The sequence below is a fragment of the Homo sapiens genome, chromosome 3 (assembly GCF_000001405.40).
Source record: "Homo sapiens chromosome 3, GRCh38.p14 Primary Assembly".
Classification (NCBI taxonomy): Eukaryota; Metazoa; Chordata; class Mammalia; order Primates; family Hominidae; genus Homo; species Homo sapiens.
The window spans coordinates 15784360-15808101 of record NC_000003.12 but is presented as its reverse complement, the minus strand read 5'-3'; the positions used below and the strand labels follow the sequence as shown (position 1 = coordinate 15808101).

General features: G+C 34.7%; 1 protein-coding gene across 34 annotated transcripts in view, besides 4 other annotated features; it reads left to right on the top strand.

Moving 5' to 3' along the window:
* The window catches only part of ANKRD28 (ankyrin repeat domain 28), a 192579-nt gene that overhangs the window by 51713 nt on the left and 117124 nt on the right, over positions 1–23742 (top strand). For 9 of the 34 annotated variants that reach the window (XR_007095653.1, XM_024453422.2, XM_047447809.1 and 6 more), the window contains one exon: positions 12796–12879. The exons of 2 other annotated variants lie outside the window; for them this stretch is intronic. Coding sequence is in view for 26 of the 32 variants with exons in the window: in XM_047447809.1 (XP_047303765.1) it covers positions 12796–12879 (84 nt within the window). In the remaining 6 variants the exon portion in view is untranslated. Of the gene's footprint in view, positions 1–9917; positions 11707–12795; positions 12880–23742 lie in introns of those variants that run through there. 23 more of the 34 variants (XR_007095652.1, XM_047447802.1, NM_001349277.2 and 20 more) reach the window with 10 other exon arrangements.
* Positions 2058–2107: an enhancer, noted in NCBI's record as "active region_19537". NCBI's record gives its function as "activates an Ori minimal core promoter by ATAC-STARR-seq in GM12878 lymphoblastoid cells {active_cell/tissue: GM12878}" and the evidence as "EXISTENCE:reporter gene assay evidence [ECO:0000049][PMID:35858748]".
* Positions 3335–3474: an enhancer, noted in NCBI's record as "active region_19536". NCBI's record gives its function as "activates an Ori minimal core promoter by ATAC-STARR-seq in GM12878 lymphoblastoid cells {active_cell/tissue: GM12878}" and the evidence as "EXISTENCE:reporter gene assay evidence [ECO:0000049][PMID:35858748]".
* Positions 5793–5892: a silencer, noted in NCBI's record as "silent region_14109". NCBI's record gives its function as "represses an Ori minimal core promoter by ATAC-STARR-seq in GM12878 lymphoblastoid cells {active_cell/tissue: GM12878}" and the evidence as "EXISTENCE:reporter gene assay evidence [ECO:0000049][PMID:35858748]".
* Positions 13509–13658: an enhancer, noted in NCBI's record as "active region_19535". NCBI's record gives its function as "activates an Ori minimal core promoter by ATAC-STARR-seq in GM12878 lymphoblastoid cells {active_cell/tissue: GM12878}" and the evidence as "EXISTENCE:reporter gene assay evidence [ECO:0000049][PMID:35858748]".

Sequence of the window (23742 nt, the reverse complement as noted above, 5' to 3'; positions counted from 1 at the left end):
TTCCCTACTGCTTAGCCTTGTGATTTCCAGTGTTTAATTGGTCCAACTCAGATTTTTTGTCCGTGAAATTGGGATTTAAAAACTAGTTTGCAGGCATGTTGTTAGAATTAAGTGAATGTACATAAAGTGCCTACAACCATAGTAGCTATTCAAGTTACCTGGGATGTTTATCCCTGCCCCATATGAGTAGCCAACCTTATTATGCCTTCAGACTGAAAAATGCCAGATAAAAGTATTATCTTATATTGAAACATTTCATCTTCCTGTTTATTATTCATCGATTTAGCTTATCTCTAAAACTGTGTAATTGTCTTCACAGTGACAGTACTTCAAATATTTTAAAGTTTTCATGTTCTCCCTGATTCCTTTTCAGACAATATCTTCAGCTTTATCAACCCTTTATGAAATGGTTTCTAGATTATGCATTATACTGGCTGCCCTTCTTGAAGGTATTCTAGTTTCATTGCTCTAGTGGTAGTCTGCCCAGTGTCTAGTAATTAGCCTTGCTTTTCATAGAGAAGGAAGATGAGATTAATAGGAAACATTTTGGAGATAAAACTCTCATTTTAACAGGTCAAAATTAAGGTGTATTTTACTATTTCATCCTAAAGTATTCTGTTTTCTTATGTTTGACATTTTTCTTGTATGTCCATGGCATTTATAAAATGATTTCCTTGCAATTACCCTCTTCCTTCTTGCATGCTTACCCCCAATTTTGTTTGTATGTCCACGTCTATCCCACATCGCTTGGGGAAATCCCGAATATTACAAGCTAATCAGGGTAATCCTATTCTGCCTAGTAGTGATTCATTTGGGAAGGGACATGTGATCAAAGCCTGGCCCTTTGCATTTCAGGGAAAGTCAGCTTGTGGGGCTTCTAGGAGTCTTCCTCATACCTGAAAAGGGAGACACGGAAGGATATTTCCACTTCTACTGCATGACAATATGTGTTTAATAGGATCCCATGAAGTATAACAATTAACATGTGGCTATGAAGGGAGTTATCCTAAGGTTCTTGCTGAGTCTGACAGAGGGAAAAGCTGAAAGGAGCGTAGGTCATATATGATGGCATTGGATAACTGAATCAGTCACCCTAAAGCCACCTTATTTTAATTCTTGATGTTTGTGATGATAATCCCTTTGTTTAAGCCAGTTGAGAGTAACATCTTATTTTATAAATTATTTTTGGCTTAGGATAGGCCTAATATTAACAAATGTGTTTAATATTCTATTACATAGAAAGTAGACACTGGTGGAAGGCCCATTAAGATGTCATGATGGGCCGGACATGGTGGCTCATGCCTGTAATCCTAACACTTTGGGAGTCCGAGGTGGGCGAATCACCTGAGGTCAGGAGTTCAAGAGCAGCCTGGCCAAAATGGTAAAACGCTGTCTTTACTAAAAATACAAAAATTAGCTGGGCGTGGTGGCATGCGCCTGTAATCCCAGCTACTCGGGAGGCTGAGGCAGGAGAATCACTTGAACCCAGGAGGTGGAGGTTGCAGTGAGCTGGGATTGTGCCACTGCACTCCAGCCTGGGTGACAGAGTGAGACTCTGTCTCAAAAAAAAAAAAAGATGTGATGATGGCAGCAGTGTTGGTATAGTGGTGAGCATAGCTGCCTTCTAAGAGGTAATGATGAGCGTCTAATTTTAAGATCAGCTATATGGGGTTGAAAGTTTTATAAGTAGTCTTACAAAACTGAATGTTCTAAATGTAAAACACAGACACACAAAAAATTTCTACAATACAGTAACTGATAGCGGATTTAACAACCTAGTTAGGAATGGGCTAATTATCAATTCTTATAGGGGCCTCTTCTTCCCATTTAAGAAGTTCAAAATTGTCTACAGCTAAAGGAGTTGACATCGTTTTACTCTGAATTAACATTGTTACAAGCATGGCTTTTTAAAAGTTTATCGAAGGCGTGAAAATTTATGTATAAAAGAAACTCCACACCTGAGACACATTACAAACATACCTTCCTTCTTTCAACAATAGAAGGTGCTATGTAAAATTACAGCACTCTTTGATAAAAGGAACTAAAACTCTCTGAGTCATTACTTGAATTTAAAAATAGCTATGGTCAGTATTTTTGTCTCCAATATGGTTCAGAAAGACATGAATCATTTTTTTTTTAGTATTTCCCAAACGATAGCCACTTTGAAACGGAAGTGATGTATGCAGTTGGGTTCAGTTTGTTTGTGAAATAACGAATGTACACTTCAGATACTGATCTTACTGTACTTTCGGGAATTCCTTGGACATCTCACATAATTATTGCTTATAAAGGTAAACATTTTGTAACCATAGCAACTTATTTTAAAACTGAAAATTTTCTCCCTTCAGCTTTTAAAGTGCATTAACTTCATACTACATTTACTCTGGCATCACCACATTGTAAAAACCAGAATGAATTGCACATAATCTTTCCTCAATCTTTTTTTAAGAAGGGCAAAATTCAGCCTGTTTAAAATAAAAATTTTGCACTCAACTGATTTTAATATGAGGGCTAAATTGTCTTTGATACAGTTGCTGAACAATAATTAACTTTGCAAATAATAATGTAGATTTCAGAGAATGTGTTTATCCTTGGCCTGATAGAACATAAGTCATATGTCAGAGATACTACTCATCACATATCTTAGCTAAAAATTTTACTAATCAGATTGACTAGGATATTTTAAAAAGTATCACAACTTTAAAAAAAAGACCTCTAAAATGATGAGTCCTTTTCCTTAATTTCAAACTGCTTCTCAAGGTAATCAAAATTATGAAGAAAATAACCTAACTTTTAAAGACATTACTTAAATGCAGTACTACATACTTGCTAACAGAGTAGTTTTTCTCCCTTTGTTCCTTAGTTTTGGCATATTAGGTGTATTCTAGAAAACTAACCTGTGTTAGTTTGGCCTGTTGAATTTTTTACTTATATTCTTTTGGAAGGAAGTAATTCTCTTAAGGCTGAAATCTAAAAATAGTCATCTAAATATTGATTTAAACCTTAAGTTCATATGTGTAACTGTTGAATCTACACTTACTTGGAAAAGTCAGTGAAACTCTGTTTTCGTAAGTACCTGCTACGTAAGTACATGTGTGTTGGGAGGAGGAAAGAGCGCAAAGTCAGCATTCTTCTAGTCCCCCATTATAGTGTTAAAATGTTACTAGTCTGCCTGTCTATAAAAACCTTCCTTCCTTTGAGGCACATACCATTTGGCTAGGTGATCCTTCTATTTCTTGTTGCTATCATCTGTCACATCTCATACCCCAGTTCCACATCTGGATCATGTTTGTCTGTCATCTAGGTGATTTCATTTCTTTGTAGATGACATTTTGAACATACTTAACTATTTAACAACCTCCACACCAGCAGTCATCTGTACTTGGCTGTAACCACCTCCACTTGGCTGTAACCACCTCAATGACCACATCCTACAACTTGTCTCATTTGCTGTAATTACCTTTGCTTCTGTATGTTTGTTCTTATCTATCCTGGACACCGTGAGCCATTGCTTTTAACTGCTCAACAGTCACTTATACTCACTTTTAACAATTATATATTATAAATGATAGTTTTGAATCTTCAACCATTTTCTGAAAAATGTGATAGAGTTTTTACATGGAATGTTCTAACTAGCAGACCATTGATTTCTTTGACAAAGCACCCTTCCTATAAATTAAAGGAGGAGCAAAATAATGAGGTTTATGGAGAGTTTTATTAAAATATCCATTTTTTTAGAGAATGGACAGTTAGAAGGTATCTGTATATGTCAGTTACAATTAATAACTTCATATGCTACACTCTTTCCTATGATGGACTTGGTAGCAGGTATAGTCTATATCTCGGCCTTCAGTATATACTGTCTTTTACTGTCTTTTATCTTGTACTGGTTAGATTTTTACGTGTATGACATAATGCCCTATTTAAGTTGCATAAGGAGTTTGAAGGTGATATATGATACCTTATAATTCCTTGGCATGGTATGTATAGTAGAGATATGAATGTCTAATAATTGTTTAATCAGTGCTGTGGTATTTTTGTTGAGTGTTTTAAAAAGTAAGGTATTCTTGCCAAAAGACTTTTAGATAATTTCAGTGTACTGGATTGAGTAGAATTGAGCCAGATCTCACCATTCTTTATGAATTTTTTTAATATTCACCTAGATGTAGGCAACTTTGGGATTTAACATTTCATTTAGAAGTCATGAGGGTAGATGCTAAGATAATGGGCTCTGTATTAAGTTTAAAACAGAGTTTGAGAGCATGAAATGCACCTTAGATATTGATGTAACAAGTAACATTCTTCATTGTATAAATTTGGAAACTAAAAAAGTCCCAAATTTCTTAAACTCCAATAAGCACTGGTTGCTTAAGTCAAAAACCTGGGAGGTTTCTGATTATCATCTTCTCCATCACTCTTGTAGCCAGTCTATTAACATGTCCTATAAATCCTATTTCTAAAATATATTTCTTTTTTTTTTTTTTTTTAAATGGAGTCTCGCTCTGTCGCCAGGCTGGAGTGCCGTGGTGTGATCTCAGCTCATTACAGCCTCCACCTCCCAGGTTCAAGCGATTCTCCTGCCTCAGCCTCTTGAGTAGCTGGGATTACAGGCACGCGCCACCACACCCAGCTAATTTTTGTATTTTTAATAGAGACGGGGTTTCACCATGTTGGTCAGGCTGGTCTCAAACTCCTGACCTCATGATCCGCCCACGTTGGTCTCCCAAAGTGCTGGGATTACAGGTGTGAGCCACCGTGCACGGCCTCTAAAATATATTTCTGTCTCTCCACCTATATGATCATGTCCTAATTCAGATCACCCACTCTGTTGGATTACTGCAGTGGTCTCCTAACTAGTCCTTTGACTTCCATTCTTCTACCCCTTTAATCCGTTCTTCGTATCAAAGCCACATAATGTTTTTAAAGCAAAAGCAAATCATGACTTCCTTAATTAAAAATTTTTAATGAGTTCTCAATTGATGAAAAATACAAACTTTATAACTTGGTTTACAAGGCCTCTCTATCACATGACCATACCCACTTCTCCAACTGCATGTGATATTGTCCCTCATGATTGCTTCCCCAGCCACATGGGCCACCCATTAGTTCCTTGTCTTTCAGACATTTTTTTTTATTCGAGAATTTATCACAGTTGCAGTCATATAGTATTTATTTGTGTGTATGGTTCATTAGAACAAGGATTGACTATTCATAATTTTGTTTTCTCAGCTTGGCAGAAAGACTGGCACATAGTAGATGAATGTATACTAGGTGAATGGATGGGGCAGATAAGTGATTGGCTGACTAGATGTTACTGAGCCTGTTTCTCATTTAGAGATTTGATAACAGTACCCACCAAAATGGTGGCTGAAGATGATTGAGAATATTTGTGGTAACTGTTTCCATCTCTTTCTCTCTCCTCTGATTGTCCTTAGCTTATCCAGGAAAATATGAATTATTTTCCAGCAGATTTCTGATTATTGTTTCTAGTACAATATGTTACAGCTCAAGTTTCTAACTCATTTTATTTATTGAAGATTTAAGTAGCCACATTGTACTGGAGTATGGATGTTGGAAGAACAGGGCTCGAAGGATATATGTCCACTCATAGATAATTAAAGGAAGAGTAAGATTATCATTTAGAGTTAGGCTCAGCTCCAAGTACCAGAGATGCAAAATTACAGTTTCTTAAACAAGGCAGGACTTTTTATTTCTCTCTAACATAAAAGTCAGAAAGTAGACAGTCCAAGGCTTGTATGGCAGTTCTGTTTGGCAAAGTCCTCAAAGACCCAGCTCCCTTCTAGTGTAGTTTCACTACCCTAGACTATGGTCCTTGTTTGGTTTAAGATAGTGGCCAATCATCTTTGTTCCAGGAAGCAAGCTGAATATGCTAGTTGGTCTTTAAGAAAGTTTTCTGAAAGGCACACAACACCTACTTAAAATTTTGGTCAAACTTTTTCATGTGGCTCCTAGCTACAAGAGAGCTGAGAAATGTAGTCTTTATTGTGTGAGGCTCTGTACTTACCTAAAGCTGAAATGGAAGCCTGGAGGAATGGACACAAAATACAGATCTCTGCAGAAAACACATGTAATATTAGAATGTGCTAACAATCTGCAGTATACAGTACTATTAATATTGGAAGGGTTAACAATTTATTATTACGAATGTAACGTACCAGTGGGATCACACCACTTGAGATCGTCAAACGATATTGGTTAATGGCCATTTTGGCATTATGACTGCATAAAAAATAAGTGTCCTGGATCATAAATATATTACCTGCAGAGAGTTAAGTCTGATCTATTATGAGGATTTTGAGTTGTGTTTTGAATACCTAGTGACTTTCTTGCAGTGGCTCTAATAATCACATAGATAATTGCATGGATTCTGGCCTGTGTAGCCTAGAAAGCAGCTATTCCTTGATTTCTCCCCACTCACCCTCTACCTCATTTTCTTTTAACTCTGTTCATAAGACTTTTTTTTCCTAAAGTATATGGATAGATGAGGCGTAGCTCAAGAAGATTGGTGAGGATTCTTGATCTGTCAGAAATGTTTTCTATAACATTGTTTGAACCCACTTCCTTACCATCTTTCACCACAAGCTTTTTATTTTCAAATACTCAGAGACCAGCTTGTTACTTGCCACAGAGTAGCCACTTAATATACCCTGAGTATTCTATTCTATGATAATACGGAGTTCACAGATGTGTAAGACAAAAGGTGAGGTTTAGGTTGGATCTTGTTGCAGAAAGGAAAAATCGTTTGTGTCAAAAAAAGAAATTCAGGTGTAACAATTAGGAACCCAAAAATTATCTTCCAGTGACTTAATGTTTTTATAATCAGTAAAAAGGTTTAAGCCAGCTTTACCATTATGTGATTCCATTAATAGTAGGAGTAAGCTCTTAATAGGATACATTTTAGTATAAAGAATAGAAGGATTATAAAGCTGTCAGAGTTGAACTTGTTAGCTTATTAAAAACTTAATCTAATATGGCCTAAAAAATAAGTACCAAAGAAAATAACCACATCCCCTTGATATTTCTCTAAGTGGAAAAAAATGTTGAACTTACAGTTTGCACAATCTTTATCAGCAGTTTTTTATCAGAAGTACTTTCTCTGTTTCTAAGTTCTTAAATATTCACTTGTCTCCTTTTAAGATGTGAGTTCCTTGAGGGTAGGAGCCTGTCTTATTCAATAGAAGAAGACACAAAACAGTGCTGCTAATTTAAATAATTTAAAAACTGACATATTTCTCTTAGTATTTTTTATCTGCTTTTGATTTTATAATATACCATGGGCTAGTACTTTCTATCCTTTTTCCCAAAGGAATTTTACAGTCCCTAAACTGTAAAATCTAGTGAAGGTAGAAGAATGGAAGAACCTGTAGTCTTTCTTGCCTAAGTTTACTGCTCCCTCTCCCCAATTAACACTTAGTATGTGCTTGTCTAGTTACTAGAGTCTAAAATGAGCTTTTAGCAGACTCTCAAGAGATCACTGAAAAGTGTGGGGACTTGGCAACTGAATGGGATCTCCAGACATTAATCTGAATTACCTCACTTGTACTGGGTCAAGAGGAGGAGGAGTTTAATAGCCTTTGATCCACTCACTGGCTTCACAAGGGATATCATTCAGCTATCCCAAATATCCATAACAGTAAGGTTATCTTGTTTAGATTTCACAACACTATGAAGTAAATTCTGTTAATGTCATTTAATAGATGTTAAAATGAGCACAGAGAGGTTACTAAATAAGTGAGTAGCCCAGGATCCCAGAATTAGGTTAGTGGGAAGCCTGGATTAGAACTTCAGGCAATTTGACCACAAAATAGCCTACATTCTCAAGCACTGTACTGTTACTCTATTTCTCTTAGACAAAAATCTTTGCAGGTTATTTTTTTCTTATATAAGTGTCAAGAAATTTAGGCTTAGGGAATTTAAGTGGTTTGTCCAAGGACACAGCTAGGAAATGATGGAAGCAGAATTGAACTTCAGGTGGGCTGACTCCTGAGCCCTTAGTTTTAACCATCACCCCATACCTTTGTTTTATATCCTGTCAACTTCTGAAATTTTAATTGTTCACTTATTAGAGATATGAAACTCACTTTGTTGCACCTTAATGCCACCTATATTTTCTGGTTAAAATATATGTATACCAACACACCCCCACTATTCTTGTTTATAAATCTCCACCCTTCCAGAGTCTCGTGACGACAGAATTCATTTCAATGAAATTATTTATAGGTGGAAGAAAGTGGAAGGAGACAATATGTATGAACACAGTCCCTACCTTCAAGGAGTTTGTTTTCTGGTTGGGAAAGACCTAAGTGTGGAGGTTGACTTAGAACAAGAAACAGGATGTACCTGCTTAAGTCTAAGTAGGTGAACTTAGGTACTAGATACTTTGGAACAAGTTAAGATTGTTAAGATAAAAAGAGATTTTGCTTTGTGGGCTTGGGAACCCTGAAGATGAAATATAGGATATTGTTACTATAGTTGTTTCACTTTCAGATATTTCAAATATTAAGATTTTTTGATTCAGCTATGTGGAGATGGATAACATAATTGATGTATGTTCAATATTTACATACCTTTAATTTGGCATAAAAGTATTTTATATATTTTAAAATATAACTAATGAATTGTTAGCATGTTTTAATTGGTACAAATATGTTAGAGTTATTGCTTCTTCCATAGATTGATACATTTTATAGCTTTCAATGGTTCTTGTTTTAAATTCTGACATTCTTATATTTGTATCATGCTGGGATTTTTTGTTTTTTTTTTCCTTTTTATGGTTTTAAGACTTGCTTTGAAGTACCCATTTAAAAATAACTCGTTTTAGAATATAGCAATAAATAGTATATTCCTTTGTTACCTAAACTTTTCACAACCTTTATAGGTTACCTGTTTGTTAAGATCACTTTTATAAGCTAGTATTACAGGTTGCAAAGATCTGGAGATGAGTGGAGAGAAGAGAGTGTGTCTGTATGTGTGTGTACTCAGTGATAGCAGAATAGATTAGAAAGAGTATGTGTTTAAAATAACACACAACTTTATTAATTTATACAACTTTGGGTAAAATACATCATTTCTGAGTCTGTTTTTCCCTCTATAATGGGAATACAGCAAGGTTATTGTATTAAATGAGAATGTACAGCACATAGCATATCACAGATGTTCAAAAGTAACTATTATGTTTATTATTGTTTATTAATAAAAATGCTAGTTAATATGAAGAACACAGATTGAAGGGGGACCATGGTATTTTCTTTGTAAGTTTTCTCTTGAGAAATATCCCCCATGTTGGGTAAACAGAGAAAGAAGAAAAAAAACGATGAAATGATTGGCTTTGACATTTATTTATGGCTTTGGGAAATTTATAGGGAGGGAGATTATTTGTATTACCCTGTGCCCTTTTGACATAGGTAATTCAGGACGAAGGACATTTTTTTTTTCATGTACCTCTTTAACAGATTTTTAAGGCTTTATTCCCTATCCAAATGGGAAGGTAGGATTATTTTATTTCTTCAGTGAAAAATCAAATGATTTATATAATTTTAGAGTTAGGATTTCTACATTATGAAATTTTTGCTTTTCCCTTTAAAATATGAATCAATGATTGATTAAATTCACCAATTTAGAAATTGTTAGACAATCTTAAATTTCATTTGTTTAAGCTTTGCATTCTAGAAAATAAAATACACCTGGCAGATTAAAACTGATCTTGGTAAAAATATGAATAAAACAATTTCATGGTTTTTATAATCTAATAAAATATTTCTCCATCTTTAAACCTTTTTTATGAGTCCATTGCAGGCATATTCTTACTGCAACTGTCATTATAGGGTTAAACATTTGCTTTATTGTAACACACGAAAGCAGTTAAGCCGTTTGGAATTGTTTACTTGCTAAAACCACTGTTAGTCAGCAGAGGCAGTACACCAGATTTCCTTGTGGCTTTTAGTGGAAAATGTTAAAAGCGCACTCATTTTTCAGTTATAGAATTTTTTAGTTTGATTTGGATTAGTCACAGAACTGGCATGAACCTTCTAATTGTGAAGGCTGTCCAAATGCACTATTTTTTTCTCCTGCTAGAGGAAGTTACATCCCGAGAAGTAGCTCAGATCTCTGGTAAGTGTAACATGTGAGCATTACTAGGCATTTCATCCTGTGGGTCTGCAGTCTTTGCTCTTCAGACTGTTGCTCCGTTGGAATGCTTCTGTGGGACTGATACTGAGGTTCTATAGATATTTTTTAAGGACCTACTCATTTGGGGATGTCAGTGGTGTTTTGCAAGATCATCTGAGGAACAGGAAAGCATTTGAAATCTGAAAAGGATAACTGTGGCGGTTTTCACAGTGGAAGGAAACTATATTGGCAAAGAGGCAGATGACTGAATAAAGTAGTTGGCTCAAAGAAGATGCACAGTCTGCTATTTTTTTCTCTGAATGAAGACTGTTTAATGGAAGCTGTATTCATGTGGAGATCAAAGGAAACACTGGAATGATACACTACTATGTTTTTCCCCCCCCTTTTTTTTTTTAAAGAAAACAAAAAGCCTGAAGCAGTAATTTGAGCTCAAATGCCTTCTAATTCCTTCACAGCCTGCTTGTTCTACTAGGATTCTCCACTAACACCATTTCTGCCTGGTGCCTGTGCCCTTTTGCTGGAGCAGCCACAGACAACTGCCTGATGGAGAAAGAATGAACGCTCTGCCTTGCTTATGCTATCGATGGGAATAAAGCTAACTGTGTTTCTTCTATTATATGGGAAACCTGGATTAATCAAGCTGTATTCTAGTACCAAGAGTCGTATTGTCTCTTGTGGTCTGACTCATCACATGTAAACGTACTGCAGCTTTGCTATTAATGCAGAGTGGTTTTTTTTTTTTTGTTTTTGTTTTTTGCCCCTTTCCCAAACACTGAAAGAATTGTTAACCTCTGAGCTTCATTTTCAGGATTTGTGCTGAGCTCTAGATCTTTTTTCTGTGAATAGTATCTGCATTAAACCAGTGATGAAGAAATGAAGACAAATTAGAAGTGGAAACAGAATAGTGAGATTTTATTTTTTATTTTCAATTATAAGCAAAACAGCTACTGGTAACTATATGACCTTGCAGGCAAGAGTGGGTATCGCTGTGATCATCTCTGTCACAGCAGTTGTTTCTCATTTCATTCTATATTGTGTGGTGTTGTGTCACCAAAAACAATGATTGTTTTGTGCAAGTAAATTTCAGAGATAGAGCAATAAGACTATTTTGGTAGAGGAAAAATATTTTTAAATGAGCTTGGACTCAGTTTTAGTTATTGACATGTTGGTGTGAAATTTCTTCTTAAGTATTGCAGTAATCCAACAGAAATAATAGAATTTCGTTATATTTAGGAAGTTACAAATTATGTAGTCATAATTTTAAACTTGTTTTTCCAGTAGTACTTATTAACTTTAAAAAAAAAAAAAACCCAGCTGTGCTGTTCAGAGAATGTTTGTAAGTGTTGTACAGAAGAGGAGGAAAAACTACTTGTGCTCTTCCAACTGTGACTTTTATCACATAGCTTGGAATTTAGTGTTTTAAAAGATCGAATGAGTCGAGTGTGTATTGTTGTTTTGGAGGAGGTAGAAGATGAATCTCCTGCATTCATTTCTAAATTGCCACAGGAAAATAAATCCCTACATTCTCCACCTTCTGGAAATGTATTGGTAAGATATGTAAGTTTATATGTTTACTATATTCTACTGAACTAGTAGTATAAATCTTGTTTTTTAAGAATAGATGTAAATTTCCAATAGTTTCTTTACAAACCCAAATTAAAGCAATACGTGTGTAGATATGATGCAGTATTTTTGTATAAAATGCACATTTTTCGTTTTTACTTTTTTGAATGCTGAGATAACATTTCAGTCTTTACTATGTCTTAATCTCTTTAAAAGACTGTTTAAAAATAATTTGAGAATTAGTAGTTATGGCAACCACGTTTCTGTTTTCATTTTGTGGTTTCAGAAACTGATGTAACAAGAATCAGGAACTCTGCATATTTTAGGAAAGGTTGACTACCCCCAGCAACACTAAGGCATGGCCTTTTCTGTAATGAATTTTATGTATTTACATATAAGACTTTATATGAGATTCAGTCTTCATCTTTAACCTTGGTTTTAGTGCTACTGTCAGCTGGCTCCTTGACTAGTATAGTATACCTTATCAAGAGGCTGTATCGTTGATTAAGAAATTATTATATTTAGTTATGCATGTGTTTGTCTTTTCAAGTTATTTAAGTATCCAGTATTTTTTGGTCTTTGATTAGTGGCTATTTTCATCAACTGCCAGGTTTGCTTTCTTGGGATTTGTATCTTTATACATGTAATGCTAATCCATGTAAGATAATTTGATGCCCCAAACAGACCTTTTCAAAAAAGCCTTCCTTCATGGGCTGGAAATTGCTTAAAAAGTTCTGTCCCACAAGTAGATGTTGAGATCACACATTTGTATTTGGAAGAGTCTTTCTTTTTGTCATATACAGAAACAAAAGGCTTCTACTTACAAGAAATAAAATCTGATTTTGTTTATTATACTACCTAAATTGGGTCAAACTGAATTGATTTTTTTTTTTAATTAGGCCTTTTTTTTCCAAGTAGGAATCCTGTACTTTGACATGATTTGGTTTTATGAAACTTCTGGCTAATGTCAAAAGTGATTATTGCTACAGGGAAGAAAACTTGTAGATTCCAGAACTATGTAAAATATCCTTAGTCACCCCACATGGATGATTCTAATGTTTTTATTACTCTCTTCTATTTTAGCCATCACTGGTGCAAGCTATATTTAACGGAGATCCTGATGAAGTTCGAGCACTAATATTTAAGAAAGAAGATGTTAACTTTCAGGTAAAACAGTTAATTCACTGATGCCAGCCTTTAAAACTGCTTTTTAAAATTCTTTCCTAGAATTGTGATTTTTGTTTACAAGACATAATATAACTCTGTAACAGTTGTTTTAAATGAGGGCAGGAAGGTATTGAGGCAAAAGGGAAAACACTGGACATATACTCAGGGCAGTAGCAGCCAGTAGGGGTCTTTTGTTCTCCCAGCTTTTTACTTTGAAATTTTTCAAACATAGGGAAGTTAAAAAAACATGCTGACTACCCATATACCTTTCACTTACTTTTGGCATTGATAACATTTTGCCACATTTGCTTTCTGTATTTATTAATATACAACTTTTACATATATATGTAGTAAGTTGCAGAAATCATGATACTTCACCATTAAATACTTAACTGTGCATTTCAAATGAGGATTCTTGTAAGTGTATATCTAAATATAAGATCAGATTTGCTTTTTGTAAATAATCATGGTGAGTGTTTTACAATGGTGCTTGATTAATTTTTGTCAGATTAGGTTTTCAGTAAAGTCATTGTTGGAAAAGTTTTCAGACTTAACGATACAGTAGTATATTCAGTGCTGACATGATGGACAGTTTTAGAAAGGTGGATATATGGATAATTTTCTCTCTCTGTTATGTTTTTTCAGTGGCCAGTATTTAGTTTACTAAGTTGTGGCTGAAAGTACATTACGTACTCTAACAAAATTACATCCACTAATGTATATATTTTTACCAGAAACAAATGTACCCCTGAGTTATGGAGGGGGTGAAAAGTCATATGATTCACAAAGTCGCTGTGGCAACACCAAAACAGATGACCTAGAAATGATTGTGGTTTTAAGAAAGCACCCATTGCAAGCTCATTTTTAACTCTCATCTTTCCTCCTTTTTTTTTTAATATAATACTGCTGTGACCACTTAATGTTAGGTAGATACAAAAAAGTTTTACCTTATTTTTAAAATAATGAATTATCTGAATAGATTTGAATCATTGGCTAAAACTGTTGTTAATTTTAACATTGGGTAATGAACAGAATGCTATCATTATATATTTTTTAAAATTTTTTCTAAGTGAATTGCCTTCAAGTTTATATTTAGTTGGAAACATGCACCTAATTCAGGATTTATGTATGTATGTATGTATGTATTTATTTAGAGACAGAGTCTGGCTCTGTTGCCCAGGCTGGAGTGTAGTGGCATGATCTCCGCTCACTGCAACCTCTGCCTCCCGGGTTCAAGCGATTCTCCTGCCTCAACCTCCCAAGTAGCTGGGATTACAGGCACCTGCCACCACGCCCGATTAATTTTTGTGTTTTTAGTAGAGACAGGGTTTCATTCACCATGTTGGCCAGGCTGGTCTCAAACTCCTGATCTCAGGTGATCGGCCCGCCTTGGCCTCCCAAAGTGCTGGGATTACAGGCGTGAGGCACTGTGCCGGGCCATGATTTATTTGTTTTAAATGAAGTGTCTGGCTACTTTACCCAGGGTATACTGAAGAGTATGCGTTTCTTAGAAAATAGCTCAAGGGGTATAGACGCATGAAAAGGTGGAAAACATGTTTTCCATTTAACTCCTAAGGTTTTCTTGTTATTTTGGTTTTATTTTAATAGTACTGACAAATACTACCTTGATTAGAAAGTTTGAACTATAATTCCATTTACCAGGGCTAATTTCTCCATCATTACAAAGTTTATTGTAGCTGACATTACTTTTATGTTATATTTAATCAATTTATCCTAAATTAAAAAAAAATTCAGAGTCATTGAGAGCATCAGCTCACTCATCAGTAGGCCTTTCTTGAGAGTAACTCTTTGACAATTGTCTTCAGTGATACAAAGGTTTTTGACAACAACTTTTATGATTGCTTTTAGGCCTTTTCTCTCGTGACCCTTTCTTAGTAGTTGAGAGTGTTGCCTTAAAGTCAAGATTTGTTAACTTTTTGGCCATTATTTGAATTTAAGATGGTAAATATCATCTGATTTTGTCTGATAAGGAATCATATGGGGTTTTAAAAGGCAATGGGTGTTAAATGCACTGACTTTTAATAGGTAATAAAATATTTTTAAGCTTTATGTCAGTGTGACAGTCGTGTTTTTCCAAAGTAAATTTATTTAAATAAGTATTTGGAGAATAACGTTGGACTTTTTGAAACTCAGGTTTCTCTTAAGTTTTTTGAAGTTGTTTTTATTCATTTTTAGAATGGATATAAGTTCAGATTTATTTCTCTACCATTAAATAGTCATTGTATAATTTTAGATGAGTTTCTTTAGTCACACCCTGAGGTTTTGAATATTGTAGACCACTAAACAGCACGTTTCTTAGTAACACACCTAATAGATTTTTCTTCTTATTTTAGTGGGTTTTAAAAAAAATTTGTGGGTACATAATAGGTGTCTATATTTATGGGGTACATGGGATGTTTTGGTACAGGCATGTAATGTGAAATAATCATATCATGAAGAATTAGGTATTCATCCCCTCAAGCATTTATCCTTTGAGTTACAAACATTCCAATTACATTATTTAAGTTATTTTAAAATATACAATTAAGTTATTATTGACTATAGTCACCCTATTGTGCTATCAAATAGTAGGTCTTATTCTATTTTTTTGTACCCATTAACCATCCCCACCTCCCACTCAACCCCCCATTACCCTTCCCAGCCTCTGGTAACCATCCTTCTGTTATGTCCATGAATTCAGTTGATTTGATGTTCAGATCCCACAAGTAAGTGAGAACATGTGATGTTTGTTTTTCTGTGCCTGCCTTATTTCGGTTAACATAATGATCTCCAATTCTATCCCTGTTGTTGCAAATGACTGGGTCTGTTTTTTTATGGCTGACGAGTACTCCATTGTGTGTATGTACCACATTTTCATTATCCATTCATCTGTTGATGGACACTTAGGTTGCCTCCAAATGTTAGCTATTGTAAACAGTGCTGCAACAAACATAGGAGTGCAGATCTCTTCGATACACTGATTTCCTTTATTTTGGATATATACCCAGCAGTGGAATTGCTCGATCATATGGTAGCTCTATTTTTAGTTTTTTGGGGGACCTCCAAACTGTTCTCCGTAGTGGTTGTACATTCCCACCAATGGTGAACAAGGGTTCCCTTTTCTTTACATCCTCACCAGCATTTGTTACTGCCTGACTTTTGGATAAAAGGCATTTTAACTGGGACAAGATGATATCTCATTGAGTTTTGGATATCTGATGATTAGTGATGTTGAGAACCTTTTCACCATTTGTGTGTCTTCTTTTGAGGAATGTCTATTCAGATCTTTTGCCCATTTTTTATCAGATTATTAGGTTTTTTCCTGTAGAGTTGTTTGAGCTCCTTATATTCTGGTTATTAGTCCCCTGTCAGAGGGGTAGTTTGCAAATGTTTTCTCTCGTTCTGTGGGTTGTCTCTTCACTTTGTTGATTACTTCCTTTGCTGTGCAGAAGCTTTTTAACTTGATGTGATCCCATTTGTCCATGTTTGCTTTGGTTGCCTGTGCTTGTGGGCTATTGCTCAAGAAATATTTGCTCAGACTAATGTCCTGGAGATTTTCCCCAGTGTTTTCTTGTATTAGATTCAGTTTGAAGTATTTAATGCATTTTGATTTGAATTTTGTATATGGCAAGAGATAGGGGTCTGGTTTCATGATTTTGCATGTGTTTATCCAGTTTCCCAGCACCATTTATTAAAGAGACTTGTCTTTTCCCAGTGTATGTTCTTGGCACCTTTGTCAAAAATGAGTTTGCTGTAGGTGTTTGGATTTGGTTTTGGGTTCTCTGTTCTGTTCTATTGGTACACGTGTCTGTTTTTGTGACAGTACCATGCTGTTTTGGTTACGATAGGTCTGTAGCATAATTTGAAGTTAGATAATGGGATTCCACCAGTTTTGTTCTTTTTGCTTAGGGTGGCTTTGGCTATTCTGGGTCTTTTCTGGTTCCATATAAATTTTAGTATTTTTTCTATTCCTGTGAAGAATTCCATTGGTATTTTGATTGGGATTGCATTGAATCTATAGATTGCCAGGACATTTTAACAGTGTTGATTCATCCCAATCCATGAACATGGAATATTTTTCCATTTTTTGGTGTCCTCTTCAATTTTCTTCATTCGTGTTTTATTGTTTCCATTATAGAGATCTTTTACTTCTTTGGTTAATTCCTAAGTATTTAATTTTATGTATGGCTATTGTAAACAGGATTACTTTTTAGTTTCTTTTTCACATTGTTCACTGTTGGCATATAGAAATGCTAGTGATGTTTGTACATTGATTTTGTATTCTGGAACTTTACTGAATTTATCAGTTCTAGTTTTCTTGTGGAATGTTTAGGTTTTTCCAAATATAAGATTATATCACCAACAAACAGGTATAATTTGACTTCTTCCTTCCCAATTTGTATGCCTTTGATATCTTTCTCTTGTCTGATTGAGCTAGATAGGACTTCCAGTACTATGTTAAATAACAGTGGTGACAGTGGGCATCCTTGTGTTGCAGGTCTTAGAGGAAAGATTTTCAGTTTTTCCTCATTCAGCATGATACTAGCTGTGGGTCTGTCATATATGGCTTTTATTATGTTGAGATATGTTCCTTCCATATCCAGTTTTTTGAGGGTTTTTATCATGAAGGGATATTGAATTTTTTAATCAAATGTTTTTTCAACATCAGTTGAAATGATCATATGGTTATTCTTTATTTTTTTGATATGATATATCATGTTAATTGATTTTGTGTTTTGAACCATCCTTGCATCCCACAGATAAATCCCACTTGATCATGATGAATGATCTTTCTAATATATTGTTGAATTCAGTTGTGCTAGTATTTTGTTGAGGATTTCTGCATTAATACTCATCAGCGATACTGGCCTGTAGTTTTCTTTTTTTGATGTGTCTTTGTCTGGTTTTGGTATCAGGGTAATACTGGCCTTGAATGAATTTGGAAGTATTCCCTCCTCTATTTTTTAGAATATTTTGAGTAGGATTGGTATTAGTTCTTCTTTAAATGTTTGGTAGAATTCAGCAGTGAAGCCATTATGTCCTGGCCTTTTCATTACTAGAAGACTTTTTATTACAGCTTTGATCTCATTACTTGTTACTGGTCTGTTCTGGTTTTGGATTTCCTCTTGTTTCAATCTTGGTAGGTTGTATATGTCTAGGAATGTGTCCATTTCTTCTATATTTTCCAGTTTATCAGCATATATAGTTGCTTACAGTAACCACTAACAAGCCTTTGGATTTCTGCATAAGTCATAATGTCTGTGTAAGTCGTAATTTCTGTGTAAGTTGTAATGTCTCCTTTTTCATTTCTGATTTTATTTGGATCTTCTTCTCTTTTTTTCTTAGTCTGGCTAAAGATTTGTCAATTGTATTTTTTTAAGTCAACTTTTTGTTTCCCTAATAGATTTTTAACAAACTTTAATTTTAAAAAATTATATATTCATATTATTTGGTATGACATGAAGTCTTCTAGAAGTCATGTAACATAGTTTCACTAGCAAATACTAGAGTTTTATATTTGGCAGATTTTGGCCACAGATATAATAATTGACTACCTGAATAAATAGAGGTTTTTTGCTTGTGTAATAATTTAATCTAGAGCATGGTAATTTGGGGTTGTTTAAAACAGCAATGTCAGAGCTCTGGGTGAGCTTCTCTGTGAAACTCTTGGCTTTCTCATAATAAAGAGATGACTGCTGTATCATGTACTTATGGGAGACAACCAAAGACATTGGAAAAGAGACTCTCCTGTACATTTTCTTTTCTTTTCTTTTCTTTTTTTTTTAAAAAAAGGAGAAAACCTCTCTTCGAAAGTCCCCACAAAATTCCTTCCTAAGGTTCCATTGGTTACAAGACTACTCTAAACTAATTCACCAGCAAAGCAGAATGGGGTTCGCTTTTTGCTAGATCAGTCTTGGTTCATCACCTGGTTCATCCCCTGGAGCAGGAATAGGGCTTCAGTGGACTTTATTGAATATATTGCCATATTCAGGAGTAAATCAGGATTTTCATAGGAAGGAAGAAAGGGAAAATAGTTGTTTGGATAGGAACCTAACTGGACGGTTATTAGTTGCCTAAAAACTGTTGAAATAGCAAAATTTTGGAAAAATAAGTCACCTGGATGTGGAAGAAGCACTGTAAACCATAAAAGGGTGAAATGCAATCAAAATGTTTTAAAAGCAGAGTGGTACATAGAATGTGAAGAACAGTTGGACTCTAAGTTGAAAGACCTAGATTTTCATATCTTCTTAGCCTTATTGGCTATACAAGTTGAGTGAATCCTGTTAACTTCAGCCCTCACTCTTCTTTTTTTTTGGGGGGGTAAATGTGTAGGGTTACATTAATGATCTTCACAGTCTTTCCCCACTCCAAATTCAGGACACTCTAAAAATTCTAAATGACTTTCAGTGACCTCCTGCTTTTGCCCAAAAGCTTTCATTTGTGTTTCTAGATTTTCGTGACCAAAATAATAAATGCCTTTCCCTAAGATTTACTAGAACTTAATGCCATGTTGTAGAACCCAAATAGGTTAATCTGAAATATTAATGATACCACATTTTAGAGGAAAACTTTGATTCTTCTTTATAAGAAAATTATTTTCTACAAATATTAATTTTTTATTAAGAGTATTAAAATTGGTGTTAATTGTAGAACTTTACTTTTGAGACAGACATAGGCATAAGCCATTTTGTATTACTCAATTTAACTTGTACAACAGTTTTATAAAATTGACAGGTTAACATTTCTACTAAAATTCACAAAAATTAACCGTCTGCAGAATCAGTATAGCAGAATGGGAATTTGAACCCATGTCCGACTTAATAGTAACTGGAGAAATAAAGCATATTGTTGAGAGAGAAATATTTTTTCTTCTGCCAAATAGTACTATAAAGCAATAATAGTTGGAAAATGGATGTTTCTCTCTAAAATAGTTATGTCTGTGCCCTATGAACTCCTGCCTTTTAAGCTGTGATACAAAGATAATCCTAATTTTTATAATACCAAGTGCTGTTACATTTTATCATTGCAAACAAGTGATGAGACAAATAAGACACAAGCCTTCTTTAGTGCCATATTTTTTTGGTAGATAAAAATGTCAAAGTAGTATTACACAAGGATCCAGCCAAACTGTTTTTAGTGTTTAAACATAGGAAGGCTGAGATTATGAGCAACCCTTTTTAAACTCTAAAGAGCTGATTTAAGAGCTAAGCGGTAGATCTTAGATGTAGCATATAACTTAATATTTTTGAAAGTGTTACCTTGTATATTCTGCTTATTGGCTTCTGAATTTAGATATACTTTATTATTCAAAAATGAATTGCAAAAGTAGTCCTCCAAATTATTATCCCTTGTTTTCAAAACCGCTTTCTGAAATCATTGAAATGATGTTCATTTTACATTTTTCACATGAAGTGCTCAGCAAATACAGTCTTTTCTGAAAATTAGCAAGAAGCAGTCTAATCTTGAACAAGTCTTTCTTAGTGGCCACATGTTGCTTCTGCTGACTGTCAGTACACCAAGCTGTTGATGTTTCTGAGCTCTTAAAAAATCTCTTCACTCATTACTTGAGGCTGTGTGCACTCTCTGTCCTAAAACCATATGTGTGTACATGGTCTTTTCTTATAGCTATTCACAGTAACTAGTGTTGGAGCCCACAACCCTCCATCCCTATCTCAGGTGTATCTACCCAGCTTTCAGCTGGCTTGTATGGAACGTGGAGTGAAGGTGGGGGCAGGCATGGGAGAAGAACCAACTCAGCTTTCTCCCAGGAGAGAAATGACACCTCCCTCCAGCTCTTTGTGGCCAGTGCCTCTAGATTCCAGTTTCAAATTTGTAAATTATCTTCGTCAATGTTGAGGTTTCTCCCAAGATCCATAACCAAGTATATGTCCTATGTCACTATGACTAAATGATTACTCTGATGGTCCTGAAACAAAGAAGGTATTATCCACTGGAACCAGCAGTTTTTGGAGGTTCAAAATACAGAAATTTGTATTCCACTCAGGTATTTATTTTTAGTAAGCATGTTATACATGAGTTCTGCATTTTCCTTTTTCATTCCCAGTGTATTTTAGGAGTCAGTCCATATTAGTCTATAGAGACTTTCCTCATTCTTTATAATTTATTTCATAGCATAATTTATTTAACTAGCAGAACTAGTTCCCTCTTAGAGGGCATTTGGGTTATTATTAACCCTCTTCATTGGTAATAAATGAGATCTTTTCATCAAGTTAACAAAAATTCTACTTAAATGGACAAGCAAAAAATTTTAAATGTATTTATTATCTGTTATTAAATATATTATTAACTTCATAGACTACCTTTCCTCTAGGTTCAGTATTTAAAGCAATTTTAGTGCATATGTTTATATGAATTGGTGGACGGTAAATACTGGCATTTTCTATAAAGCTCAAGTATCAATACTTGCATACTCAGAAGTAATGCTGATGGTTACTTATACAGATGTTGATAGTTATATGGTATAGCAAAAATATGATAAATTATGTCCTAAATTTCATACTGAAATGAAGTAACTTTGGTCTGAAAGTTCTCAGCTAGTGCCTCAGACTATTTTTTTAAACTTTTATTGAGATACAATCGATGTATAATAAACTGCATATATATAAAGTGTAAAATTTCATAAGTTTTGATACATGCATACACCTATGAAACCATCACCACAGTCAAGATAGTTAACATTTCTATGGCTCCCAAAGGACTCCATTTGCCCCTTGGAAATCCCTTCCTCCCTCCTCTCCCTGGTAATTACTAACCTGGTTTGTACATTTTGTTTTTTCCTAGAGTGTTATATAAATGGAATTACACAATATGTCATTTTTTTGGTCTGGCTTTTTTTTTGTAATAGATTTTATGTTGTAGAGCAGTTTTAAATTCACAACAGTGTTGAGAGGAAGATACAGACATTTCTCATACACTTTACTGCCACCACAAATGAATAGCCTTCCCATTATCAACATTTCCCATTAGAGTGGTACATTTGTTAAAATTGATGTACCTACATTAATACATATCATTATGGCTCAAAAACCAGAGTTTACATTAGGGTTCACTCCTGGTATTATACATTGAATGAGTTTGGACAAGTATATAATGACATGTATCCAGCATTATAGTTTCATACAGAGTAGTTTCACTGCCGTATCCTCTGTGCACCCTCTATTCGTTCTTCCCCCCAGTCCCTGGTAATTTTTTTTACATTGTCTCCATAGTTTTGCCTTTTCCAAAATGTCATATAGTTGGAATCATATAGTATGTACCCTTTTCAGGTTGGCGTCTTTCACTTAGCAGTATGCATTTACATTTCTTCTATGTTTTTTTAATGGCTTGGTAGCTCATTTCTTTTTAATCCATTATCTGAATGTACCACAGTTTATCCATTCACCTACTTAAGGGCATCTTGGTTGCTTCCAAGTTTTGGCAGTTATGAATAAAGCTACTATAAACTTCCACGTGCAAGTTTTTGTTGGGACGTATATTTTCAGCTTCTTTGGGTAAAATCAAATAACATGATTGCAGGATCATAAGGTAAGAGTATGTTTAGTTTTGTTAAAAAACCTGTCAAAGTGGCTGTTTACCAGTGTGCACTCATAGCAGGTATAAATGAGAGTCTCTATTGTTTCATATCCTTGCCAGCATTTGGTGTTATCAGTGTTCTGGATTTTGACCATTCTAATAGGTGCGTAGTGGTGTCTTATTGTTGTTTTGATTTGCAATTCCCTGATGACATGATGTGGAGTATCTTTTCATATGCTTATTTGCCATCTGTATATCTTCTTTGGTGAAATGTCTGTTAAAGTCCTTGGTCCGTTTTTTAAACAGGTTTGTGTTCTTCTGGTTAGGTTTTGGGATTTCTTTGTAGATTTTGGATAACAGTTCTTTATCTGATAGGTCTTTTGGAAATATTTTCTCCCAGGCTGCCTTTTCATTCTTAGGCAATGTCTTTTGCGGAGCAGAACTTTTGAATTTTAACGAAGTCACAGCTTATCGATTCTTCTTCATTGAACATGCCTTTGGTATTGTATCTAAAAGGTCATCCCCAAACCCAAGATCATCTGGATTTTCTATTTTATCTTCCAGGAGTTTTATAGTTTTGCATTTTTATAGTTTCATAGTTTGGGCACAGGTACCTGCCATGGGGCTGAGATGTGGGTTATGGGTAGCTGCTACTGTGCTTAGAACTGAAATTGACCAAAATTAATTGCAATTTACCATGACCACAGTAAATCATAATTTACCCCTCTGAGTCTTTCCTTGAAAGTAGCAAGGCTTCATTATATGACAGAGTTCCAAAATAGTTATATTGGACAGATTCTGCCAGTGGAATTGTTTTCTAGTTGGGGAGACAGATTCCTGGTGCTTCCTACTCTGCTGTATTCTCAGAATCCTCTCCATTCATTTACTTTTAGCCTACTATTTGCATCTTTATATTTTAAAAGGTTTTTTACAGACAATATATACTTGGATATTGTTTTTTGATCGAGTCTGACAATTTTTGTCTTTTAATTGGTGTTTTTAGACCATTGACATTCAGAGTGATTCTTGTTATAGGTGGATTACTGTTTATCATTTTTGTTACTGTTTTGTATTTGTTACCATTGGTCGTCCATTCTTCTTCTGCCTTCTGTGGTTTTAATTGAGCATTTCATGTGATTATATTTTCTCTCCTTTCTTAGGATATCAGTTATACCTCTTTTTTTTTTAAGTAAATGTCTTACAGTCTACAATATGCATATTAATCTAATGGACATCTAGCTGTCAAATAACACTATACCACTTGACAGGTAGTATGAGGATCTAACAACAAAAGAATCCTAATTCCTCCTTATCATTCCTTGTATCACT